The 12,514-nt window shown below is 51.0% G+C and overlaps 1 protein-coding gene across 7 annotated transcripts in view; it reads right to left on the reverse strand.

The window, feature by feature from the left end:
* Positions 1-12,514, reverse strand: part of DIP2C (disco interacting protein 2 homolog C) — a 415,468-nt gene that overhangs the window by 106,117 nt on the left and 296,837 nt on the right. For all 7 annotated transcript variants that reach the window (NM_014974.3, XM_005252427.5, XM_005252426.4 and 4 more), the window contains 7 exons: positions 10,423-10,546; positions 9,947-10,056; positions 9,674-9,776; positions 7,428-7,492; positions 4,229-4,322; positions 3,710-3,829; positions 2,330-2,444 (listed from right to left, as the gene is read on the reverse strand). In NM_014974.3, the coding sequence (NP_055789.1) occupies positions 2,330-2,444; positions 3,710-3,829; positions 4,229-4,322; positions 7,428-7,492; positions 9,674-9,776; positions 9,947-10,056; positions 10,423-10,546 (731 nt within the window). The remainder of the gene's footprint in view (positions 1-2,329; positions 2,445-3,709; positions 3,830-4,228; positions 4,323-7,427; positions 7,493-9,673; positions 9,777-9,946; positions 10,057-10,422; positions 10,547-12,514) is intronic.

Raw genomic sequence — 12,514 nt, forward strand, 5'->3', positions numbered from 1 at the left:
AGATGGTTAACGTGCAGAAGAGGCTGTCCCTGGAAGATGGTTAACGCGCAGAAGAGGCTGTCCCTGGATGATGGTTAATGCGCAGAAGAGGCTGTCCCTGGATGATGTTTAACACGCAGAAGAGGCTGTCCCTGGATGATGGTTAACAGGCAGAAGAGGCTGTCCCTGGATGATGGTTAACACGCAGGACACAAATGCTTAGATCACAACACAGAGGAAACGGCCATCCTCGAACCCATCCAAACAGGCATAATCCGTCCTCTACAGACCCTTCTCTGCAACAAAACAGGGGAATGTAGCAGCCGAACACTTGTCTTTCTTCTTTAAAAAACATAAGGAGTAAATAAAATGAGATCGCTGTACTGCCTCCCACATTGGACGTGACGACCTTTAAGAAGGCATTCATTTTGTTCTCATGCCAAAACCTACAGGGAAGCCTTGCCAGACCTCACTTAGTACAGCTTTACGGAATGTACGAAAGCCGTTTTTCACTTAATAACCTGGCCTCTGACCACTCCTACATGGGAAATTCACCTCAAGTTTTAAGACAGAATACACTTGAGTTCACAGGCACTGGCTCATTTTCCAAAAACACGCATCTGTCCCAACCTTTCTGTGGCACACAACTGAAACCCCCGCACAGAGGGAAGTTTCCCTTCTGTTCACACATTCAGAAAACAATGCAGAGAGGGATGTGTTGGTGGAAACGCAAGTACGAGTGCTGCTTTCATCAAATTTATTCAAAAGTAACTTAAACATCAGGGTAACGAAAGGTACAGGTTCTAAGGACCAGCATTGGCTTCTCTCCTAAAGATTTTCACCACTGAGATAGAGTTGCTGCCTAATTCATCTCAGGAAATTAGGGAGTCCAACTGCAATGGCCAATTATACAGATTATTCTTTCTTACAGCATCAGCACTGAACGGTTTAAATATGCATCATATGCATGATAACGACATAAAAAGACAGTCTTAATGAGACTGAGTGATGGAGGGGCAGGGAGAACCGGCATGGGGACACTGCGGGCTGCTTCTAGTTTTCAGGACACTGTCATTTCTAATTCAACCTGGAATGCTAAAATTGTACCTTTAATCCTTTTCGGTCCTTCGGTGTGTTGAGCCCAATCACGCCAATCAGAAAAGTGGCACACCAGAGAAGACCACTGAAGCCAGCTCCAGGGAGGTGGCTCTGGAGAGGGGCTGCTGTAACCCATGGTGGGCCGTGTCCAGAGACCACTCCTCCAGACACTGCACGGGAGCAGGCCGCAGCCGACCTGACATGCGTGCCCACGTGCAACACCAGGCAAGACAGTGGGAGGGAGACACGTCCTGCTCTTGTTATTTCTGTCTGTGTCCTGGTCAATGCCTGCCCTTCCACAGTTCTGCCTGCAATAATTTAAAAACCACACACTGCTCTGGGAAGCCTGTTGCAAGCAGGTCTCCTGCACTCACTCTACACTCCAGAGCTCACCCCACAGGAAAGGAATGGTCCTTCTCTTCCCCACCACTGGGAGTATTGCCGTGGACATGCTGCCCCAAGAGCCCCACACCACACCTCCTCTCTCTTGCCACACCTTCCCTCTGGACCAGCCTTGGATGGGCCGTTGACAGCCGACACAACTTCTCTGCAGGAGCCTGTTCTCCTACAACAGCATATTTAGGCCGTCAGTGGCACCTACGTTGACCAAGGAAAATGAAAACAAAACCCCAAACCCACAGACGGCTCCACTTAGGTAAAATGTCAAGTGTGTGCGTATCACACAGGAAGAGGTTTGGGCTTTACTTCTGGTGCATGACATGAGATTGTCAGAGCAAAGTGCACTCTGAATTTACCTACTTTAAATTTCACTTTCATTCACTCAAAAAATATGTATTAGGCATCAACTATACACCAGAGACAGACAATGAAAAAATAAATATACCAGTAAATCCCACAGCACATGGAAGTCGGTAACACTACAAGAAAAGCAGGCTGATGAAAACAGACCCTATCCCACCCCAGAAGAAACCAGAGATTGGTACACGCACATGGAAATTGGAGTAAATTCCAAGGACACGGTATTACGATTCCATGCGCCTCTAGACAGTTCCACTTATTAAGGAATTACCGTGAAACTGCAGAGAGCGATAAATGTTTTTTAATGAATGAATCTAGGCTGTTCAAAAGAATCTGTTCCAGCACATAAAAACAGAAATAAACTCATCTTGAAAGGTTAGGTCCCGTTTTCACCCTCACCCTCAGCATCAACTGTTAGGATTTCCTGATCTCCCTTCGCTGCTGAATTAGGACTGTCTCTAGGTTATCTACGTAAATCAACATGACCCAGTACCTCCGGATGGCCACAGTGAGGGCCTCTGGCGAGCTGGCACAAGGACAGATGACCTCCTGTCGAAGGCCTTTACTTTGGAAGACATTGAGAAATGCATCGCAAGAAGAAATAGACCCTAGAGTGAAAGAGGGACAATGATCAGACAGCTGAAGCACTGTGATTGATTACAAAATCCCACCATAGAAAATAGTTCCGAAGGTGGGATTCAGGCACAAGTGGATCTAGGCAGCGTGGAAAAATATTTAATACAATTTATTATTTATGTTACACTGAAAGTGGTTATTCTCAAACAGAACTCAAGAATTTAAAGAATGCAACCTCCACATTTATGACACCTTTTCTGACAGATGAACTTACTTTAGTAACTTTTCTGAGACTTGTTCCACCATTTTCAGTACAGAAGTTCCAAGACAGGGGTAAATCTAAACCAAATGAAGAAAACTTTCCTCTCTATTAATTTAAATGATGAGGTCGAGGCACAATTATCAAGAACATATCAGCTAAACTATCTCCAAATATAGATATACTTTTCTTTATGCAAGATGTATTGTTTTGTACTTATGGGTTAAAACCAATTGTTCATTAAATTAGCTCAGGATTTATGAAATTCTATAAGTGAAGACTGTTTATAAAACCTGTTTATGAGTCTGCTTTTGTATATCAGGCATTAAAGGAGTTTATGCTGCTTTAGTTTACAAACATGAACGTTGCATGTTTCATAAATGTGGTCAGATACCTTTAATTTCACTTTGCTTCTGAAGCTTTATGTACTTTTTTCACAAAAGCATGCTAGCTAGGTTCTTGTTTCAGTTGGCTGAAATATTTCTCAAGGTGTATTTATAGTATTCTGTGGAGCTGCTAATTTACTTTAACTGGGTATTTTTGTTACAGGATGTGATAACGCAATTACATTTAAAACGACAAATTAATTTACTGATCAAGAAAACTACTATACACCAAAAAGTACTAGCAGTCAAGTATTTCTTGAATATTTCCTTATTACCTGCTTAGGGCTTACTTCACTTCATCCTCATGAAAATTTATGACTTAAGCACCGTTTTACAGCCGGGGAAACAGGGTCAGCAAAGGAACTTTCTCTACAGAATCAAGACATCCTCTGAATCCCAGGGCTGTGGAGTCTACAAATGCCTGTCCTTATTATGCCATCGTACCTCTTGGCCCGAGTGAGTGATTACTGTTTGGTGATTTTAAGACAATTTCTTTACTAAGATAAGGATTAGAAAAAGAAAAATCAAAGTGCAAAGAATGAAACCTGGGGAAAAAATAAAAAAGACTTCACAGCCTGCCTGCCTCACGAAAAAAAAAAAAAAAAGACTCCACAGCCCGCCTGCCTCACGAGATCACACGCTCCTCACTTACAGGGGTTCGCGCCGTCCGCCACTATCAGCATTCGCAGAGAGGAGAGGTTGATGTCTCTCTGATCTCTGTGTGCTACTAATGCCCAATGCATATCCCTCGATTTCACACACGCCACTTTTGCTAAAAAGAAAAATAGAAATAAGTTAACATGTGCCACCGTCAGATCGTCCCCTATTGCAAAAGAGAGATCATTGTGAGTAGTGGGGAAGGGTGAAGAATCACTGGTCACCCAGCCCCCACAAACCTTTTTTTTTTTTTTTTTTTTTTTTTTTTGTGATCTTGGCTCACCGCAACCTCCTTCTCCTGGGTTCAAGATTTCTCCTGCCTCAACCTCCCGAGTAGCTGGGATTATAGGCATGCGCCATCAGGCCTGGCTAATTTTTGTATTATTAGTAGAAACGGGGTTTCTCCATATTGGCCCGGGTGGTCTGGAACTCCTGACCTCAGGTGATCCACCTGCTTTGGCCTCCTAAAGCGCTGGGATTACAGGTGTGAGCCACTGCGCCCGGCGAGACCCACCTTTGTACTGGCAGACCTTCTGGATCCAGGAGAGAGGGTTCACCTTCATCAGCGAGTACGGGATGCTGATCACATGCATCATGTTCATGACGCTCTGCAATCAACAAAGGAACACGCAGGGTGAGCATGGAGGGGCACGCAGAGGAGCAGCTCTCACCCAGTGGCATGGACACTAGGCCGCACGGGCAGGGGGGAGCTCTCAGGGAGCGCTGCAGACACCATGCACACAGGCCCCTGGAGGCTCCTCAGGGTGGGGCTGGCAGGGATGGCAAATACAGAGGGGCATAGTGGAGGAGCAGCTCTCAGTGAGTGCCATGGACACCAGACTGCACAGGCCCCCAGGGAAGGAGGAGGAGAAGCAGCTCTCAGGGAGCGCCGCGGACACCAGGCTGCACGGGCCAGGAGGAGCAGCAGTTCTCAAGGAGCACCACAGACACCAGGCTGCAAGGGCCCGGAAGAGCAGCAGGTCTCAGAGAGTGCCACGGACACCAGGCTGCACGGGCCCTGAGGAGAAGCAGCTCTCAGGGAGCGCCACGGACACCAGGCTGCACGGGCTGGGAGGAGAAGCAGCTCTCATGGAGCACCGTGGACGCCAGGCTGCACGGGACCCGAGGATCAGCAGCTCTCAGGGAGCACCACGGACACCGGGCTGCACAGGCCTGGAGGAGGAGCGGTCGCACAGGACCCTGGAGGCTCCTCAGTGTGGGAATGGCAGGGATGGCTGGTCTGCATGAATGTGACACGGTAGGGTCTGGGTGTAATCCTTTAAAACATGTCCATGAAAAGCGACTTCCCAAGGTCTCCCTCGAACTCCACTGCTTTCCCTAAACTACTCCTGACAGAATTAAGTAATTTAAGTCCAAATCTTTTTAAGACGAAACCTTTGGTGAAACAGATCGTCATTTTCAACAGCCTTTCGTATCCTCAAAGCCTAATTCTTCCCGGTGTGTTATGCTAACTTTTATTTCACAGAACCCATCTTGAGAACCGCACACTGCTCTGAATCGCAGGGCTAGGGGAAGCTCGGATTCTGGCTCTGGCCGGGCCTTGCTGCGGCAGATTACTACTTCTGACAAAAATAAACTGGGAAACACTGGCTAGTACCTGCACGCTGCTGCACACAGAGGCTGGGACTCACACCTACAGGGGCGGCAGCAACACACCTGCCTCACACCGCAGCAGTCAGACCAGGCACCACCTGGCAGGCTGTGTGGCGGGCTAGGATTCTTGCAGTCTTGTAGGCTACGGGGTGGGGGCAGACGAGAGGGCAGAGACCCCTCTGCCACTGGCTCGATTTGGGAAGCTCCAGATGAAAGCAAAAAAGCATGTGCCTTCACTCCCCAGAGCTCTGCCGACTCCCCGCCACTCTGCTGGGGGAGGTAAGGGTGTCTCAAAAGATGCTGCTGCCTGCTCAGAGACCTCGCTTTAGATGTGACAGTGGAGAGACTCGCACCTGCCAGGGCTGCCAGCTGTACCCCGGAGCACGGAGCAGGCAGGCTGGCACCACCAGCGGGAGCTCCTCAGAGAGGCGGCCCCGCGACGAGGCCTCGAAAGCAGGGCTGTGTGGACAACGTCACAGCCGGAAAGTTGGGTGTTCTAATGACGAGAGTGACTAACGGCACCAGTGATGTAGCTGTCTGTTCTTTGGGACCTGATCATTGAATCACATGCGTCAAACGTGTAGGTGGAGTGAGTGCTTCAACTTTAGGCCACAGAATTCTCACACCGGCCACGTCAAATAGGATCGTCGTTCCATTCACAGACAGAAAAACTGAGGTTTGGATTTGAGAAGGGACTTGGACGCACGTCTGACATGCCTGAGTCACAAAGCTAAGAAAGGAAAGGCTGAGACACAAGCCCAGGTCCTCCAATCCCAAAGCAGGGGCTCCCACTGCACCAGCACATAACGGTGCTGGGAACAAGCTGCTCCATCTTATCCCAGGTCCTTCAATCCCAAAGCAGGGGCTCCCCACTGCACCAGCACACAGTGGTGCTGGGAACACGCTGCTCCATCTTATCCCCCAACAGCATCCAGACTTGAGAGACGACCTGTGTGTAACACGGAAAGAAGCCAGCCGGGCTGCTCTGCAGCCACAGATATTTGGTCTAGGAAATGCTTGCCGGCTCCTCTTCACATGAATTCTGGTTCGCCAAGAAACGGCGAATACAGGAATTCCTGTATTCATATGCCCATCACTCATGTGACAACTCCTAGAATTTTCTACCTCCAAAAGGTAAGAAGCTTCAGCGTAAGAAATTATTCAAAAGAAAAATGAGTGAAAATTACCACATATGAAACAGATGGGGGGAGCGTCTAAGCAGTCATGCTCCACGTAGCTTTTAAGGGCCAGGCCCACCTTAAACAAATAACAAGGCTACTTCCCCACGAAAAGTGCCCAAGCCCGGCACGTCATCCAGGGCACTCGTGACTGTGAGACAGTCGTTTCCCTACAACACACACAGACTGCCATCCTCAAGGGCAAATCTGGAAACTACTTTCCCCCGCAGAGTAACACAATAGCAGGCCCCACCGACTCAACAAACAGAAACATCCAGCTAACCAGATGTACGGGACAGTAGCCCACACACGAACCAACCTTTGACGTTATTCTAAGATACTGAATGCCAAAAGTGCGGGAAGAAAGATAATGATCTCCACGTGAGCCCTGGAAGGCTGTTTTCGGCAGCTGTAACCTCAATCCACGTGTCCAAGACCCTCACACCAGTGGCTGCTGACACAACTGGCTTTGTGGTGCAGTTGTGAACCACGTTAGTGGACAACCTCGGTCTTCTAACAGTGACGATTTTCTGCTTCACAGTGTGGCAGGAAGCAGCTTGCACAAGTGAAACGTAGGCAAATCTAGGCATTTGTATTCCTACACCCAGCACACTCCTGTGTGGACAGACAGTGAGGGGAGGGGACTCCTGTGTGGACAGGCAGTGCGGGCGGCGGGGGGGCGACTCCTGTGTGGACAGACAGTGAGGGGAGGGGACTCCTGTGTGGACAGGCAGGGCGGGGTGGGGGGCGACTCCTGTGTGGACAGGCAGGGTGGGAGGGAGACTCCTGTGTGGACAGACAGTGTGGGGAGGGGACTCCTGTGTGGACAGACAGTATGGGGAGGGGGACTCCTGTGTGGACAGGCAGGGCAGGGTGGGGGACTCCTTTGTGGACAGACACGGCCGGGGGGACCTCACTTACTGTCAGGATGCCATGCCAGAGCCCGACGTCCTTCTTGAAATCCAGCACATTCACAATGGTTTCAGCTGCACAACAGAGGGAGTCAGGAGATTTTTACTTAGGACAGGGCGGCAACAGATCAAAATGCAAACAAAATCCAATATTGCATCAGGGGAAATAACAGATCTTGGGAAAATATCATTTTGCCGTATCTTGGTGGAAATTCTGTAGACTCCAAGTAGGCCGGTTTGAGTGCCGGCCACCCTGGAGTTTCTCGACAGATATCCTGACACATGAGTGAGCAGCGTTAGCTCTCCACACTGCACCTTAAAACGCAGCGTTCCTTCTCCTTTTATATATTTCCCCCTCTCTGCCTTTTTCTTTAAAAGATTTCTTTTCACTTCCTCATGAGTCTCCCAGGAAAGGAAGCTTTGCAGCTGGCATGCCCTCTGCGCACAGAGGAGGAAGTGGATTTTTGGCAACACAGGGGCCTACACAGCTCTACTGCAAGTCTCCAAGGTTGGAGCTGCAATAAAAAAAGGAGGCACTGCAATTTGGAAGACGGGGAGGACAATCTATTCAATGACTATGGGGGAGGGCTCTAAAAAGGTGCTAAAAGCTCGTGCTTGATGAGGTTTACCATCACAGAGCATGCTGGCCCTGAACAGACCTAGCTTTCTCCCGAAGTCACCTGGCCAGCCAAGGTCAGCAGCTGCCTGCAGGTGACTCAGTCTCACCTCCCCTTCCAAAGGCTAAAGTGTGGAGGATAATAGACAGGAGGCTTTCACAATAAATGGCCAAAAGTAAACAACCTAAGTTCCTTTTGAAAGTAGTGAAGTAAAGAGCGAACGTATCATTCCCTCCCCAACCTCCACAAGCGTGACCACCCTGGACCTTGGAGGCGCAGGGGGCAGTGCGTCCCCAGGTGTGAAAACTCCATGGCCAAACATCAGAATACCCACGAGACACACACGCTGTTTTTAAAAGGGAGATTATGAGGATGGGCAGATAATAAAAATAGTAGAAAAAGAAAAGTGTTTCATTCCACAGCGGAGCGGCAGATGCCACCACGGCTTCGTGAAGTTCCAGAAAGAGACGCCAGGCAGGGGTGCACGCCGCAGCGGTGCCCTGTCAGGAGCCTGGTCAAGGGGATGTCAGGGAGCCTCAGGGGGTCTCCGGAGGGGGTCTCAAGGGGCCTTGGGGCATCCTAAGGGATCTCAGGGACATGGGGGGGTTCTCTGGAGTCTCAAGGGGCCTCGGGGCATCCCAAGGGATCTCAGGGCCACGGGGATTCTCTGGGGGTTCTCTGGGGTCTCAAGGGGCCTCGGGCCATCCCAAGGGATCTCAGGGGCATGGGGGTTCTCTGGGGGTTCTCTGAGGTCTCAAGGGGCCTTGGGGCATCCCAAGGGATCTCAGGGGCATGGGGGTTCTCTGGGGTCTCAAAGGGCCTCAGGGCATCCCAAGGGATCTCAGGGGCATGGGGGTTCTCAAGGGGTCTCAAAGGGCCTCAGGGTACATCACAACGTCTCAGAACATCTCAGGAGGTTTCAGGGGATATCAGCAGGACTCAGGCCACCAATGGGGGGAGTCTCTGGGGTCCCCGGGGTCGCACCCTCCCCTCTCTGTGCCATTTCAGTGTGGTTGCCACAGTTCCCTCCACTCAAGTTCCCTCCACTCACTTCCCCTCTTTGCCTCCCATACCAGCCCACCCGGGGGAAGGAAAACACATCACGAGCACCAATGCAGAGACTCTGACTCAATTGGGAGGGTGGGTGGACACACAGGCGTTTTCTTTACAACTAAAGATATGCTCATGTGCACCCAGGGATGAAGCTCCACGGCGTTAACAGCGTCTCCCCAGATCCACATGCTGAAGCCCAGGCCCCGGCGTGGCTGTGTGGAGAGCGCACCTTTCAGGAGGTCCTTTGCATTCAGTGGGGTGGTAGGGATGGGTTCCTAACTGCACATCTTCTCACACCTCCTACGAGAAACCTGGAAGAGACCCCCACTGGGAACTGCCCAAGGACACGCTGACCTCAGACCTCCGCGCTGTGCGGACATAAATGTCTGCTGTTGAAGCCGCCCAGTCTGTAGTATTTGCTATGGTAGGCTGAGCTGATATCCTAACTCAACAATAAGTTCATGTCAGCGGAGCTGGGCACAAACTTCACGCTATTTCTATGGCTCCTCGTGGGAGTGATGTGGCCTTCGTGTCAGGTGTCCCGGTTAGAACCAGGGTCCCAAGGAGTCAGGGTCTGGCACCCCACCTTCCGTGTAGCCACACGCCTGCGTCAGGGCCTGGCAGTGTGTCAGCAGCGCAGTCCTCGTCACCGTCACACCCAGCACACTGCCATCCTTACACGTCTTGTACTGAAACGAGACAAAGCGTGAGGGAAGTGGGGCTGACAGGTCACGGCAGTTTTTCTGGTTACTTGAGGTTCTCCAAGTCCCTGAATTTTGGCACTCGTGTAACCGTCAGAAACACACGTTAGTGCCAAGGCCACACTCAGGGCCAGTGGAGGAGGCCAAGGCTGACTCACCTCAATATACGCAGTGTCGTTATTGGCATCTTTAATGTGTGGGAACCAGTCTCGGGGCGGTTTGGAGAGATGTTTAGACTCTGTGACAAACCACAGCAGCTTTGGCCAACCTTGGAAATAAACAACAAGTTCCTTTTAAATGTTACTCTGAAAGTCGGTCTGTAGAATTTCTCCCCATTTATGTGGTACCCTTTCAAACACGTCAACTAGATCGAATCTCTGGTGTCTCCGGACTTCACGAGATCTAAGACATCAACAGAAGAGCACCCAAGCCGCCACCATGCGTTACCTCACGTCACCCCACGGGCTGGCAACTCGGCTGTGTCATCAGGGACGAGAACGCGTGAAAACTCGTGGGTCTGTGACTGACGTTTCATTCCACAGAGGATTGAAACCGAGGCGGGGTGACGTATTCCCGCACCCGTCTTCTGACAAAGGACGTGGGCATGCGAGCTCTCGGAGGCTCGGTGGCTTACCTTTAAACTGTGGGATCTCTCCCGTTGGGCTTTTTGGAAGTCCTTTATGGCAGGCGTCACTAGTCAAGGCTACAGTAACTCCACAGCTTCCAAGCAAGAAACCTATCTGCTGGCTCCCTGCGTCCTGAGAGGGCAACAGAGAGGAGTTGAGAATCCACGACCTGCCCCACTCCGCCCAGCCTTCGGCCCTCCCTCCAGCGTTCACACAGACCCTCGAGTCTGCAGAACCAGGATCCAACCCCCAGCCCTGCTGCTTGGTATCTGTGGGACCCTGAACAGGTGAGACTGCATGGCCTCAGTGTCCTCACGTGTAAAACAGGTATAGAAAGAACAGCTGTCTCCCAGGTTTGTTGAGGGATAAATTAGAAGAGGGTGTGGAAAGTGCTCAGTGCAGGCTGGCGTTCAGCGGGTCGCGTTAAGAGCCTGCTGTTATAGCTCTCTCCAATTCCATAAGACTATGATTATACAATGCAATTACTGTAGAGAATAGACAGGGCCTGAAAAAACACTTCTACTAACATGCTAACACCAAGTGCCTGATCTTTAAAACACTCAAAGACCAAAGGCACGAAAGGCACACCTGTCATGGGTGCCAGGCAGGGCACCTCGGCCAGAGGAAGGAAGACCTGGGTCACTTTCTCCTCACCCTGAGCAGCCCAGTCTCAACGAACTAACTGAAGCTTGCTGAAACAGGCCACTGCTGTGCAGCCCCACTGGAGACACCAGATACAGGTGGCTCCAGGCTGCCAGCTCCGGTTTGGGAAGGTCAGACCTGAACAGACCTACGCCAGTCGTCACTCCTGTCCAGCTGCCCAAAGGCAGGTGGGCGAGCAGCCAAGGCACTCGCATCACTCTCTCTACGCCCACCAGCTGTGCCAGCTGTGTGGGTTTTCCATTATTTGATTCATAAAATAAACTGAAAGCTCCAAAACAGCCAGGGTTCCAGGACCTAAAAATGCCACATTGTAGTGAGCAAGTCACCGTCTTCGCTCCCCAGATGGCTCAGCATGAACCCCTCAATTATGGACCCTACAAGGCCTGGTTGCTGTCAGTAATCAGAGGCCTGGCTGTGGATCTTCCCACCTGTTCCCTGATAACAGGAAAACATGAGCTGAAGAGTGGTGTTTTCACCTGGGTAAATTAGGCAGATTTAAAATTTCAAAGCTGTAGTCTCTTAAGTGTTTAGTACTTTTCTTATTGTAGATTTAAATCTACAGTGAAAACGCCTCTCTGTGGAATTTTCATGGAGCAACAGCCAAATGAGCCAACCAGCACATGCAGGGCAGCTCCCCAAGATCTGGCCGCCGGGAGCTCTGCGGACAGATGGAACCCACTTCGGGGACATCTTGTGGTGCTTTTCACACAGATGCTGCTTGCTCAAGTAAAGCCCTAATCAGTCACTTTAATGTGAATCTGAACATCACATTAGCAAACGTCCCGACTCTTGAAGGGACACAGGTGAGGGGCAGAGGTGGGGCGACATCAGCTTCTGCAGCAGGAAGGCGGCTCTGCTGAGCCAGGAAGTGCCGGGCCGAGGCAGGAGAACACGCGTGACTGTCACAAGACGGAGGAACGGCTGAGGCCAGTCGCTCATGGCTGTGGGTGGAATGCTGACCTCAGGCCAGGAGCCAACCTTTCGCTAAACCCTGCCCTGGTAGTGTCCGCCCGTGATTTAATCCCCCAAATGATAAAATCATACACATAAGAAGATCCCAAAAAATAAGGAAGAGACTGAAAACCACAGGAGCAGCAGGCCTGGGAGGATGCGGCTGCTATTCAGCCAAGGTGAGGCTGGGCCTGCTGCTCCTCCGCACGTGTAGAGTGCCCCCCGCGGCCCCGTCAGACGCCAGCCCTCAGCACAGCTCTGCCCAGCCCTGGCCAGTGTGCTCAGAACAGCACTTAACCATGTCTCACCCTACACACCCATGTGGGAGGCAGCCCAGTGGAGTCTTCAACACACATACGTGCCCAGGTACACACGCGCCCAGGTACACACGCGCACACACTCACATACACACACACACACTTAACACTCTCACACGCGCCCATGCACACACGCGGATGCGCACACTCAGCGCACACACACACACAC

This window comes from Homo sapiens, chromosome 10 (assembly GCF_000001405.40).
Source record: "Homo sapiens chromosome 10, GRCh38.p14 Primary Assembly".
NCBI lineage: Eukaryota > Metazoa > Chordata > Mammalia > Primates > Hominidae > Homo > Homo sapiens.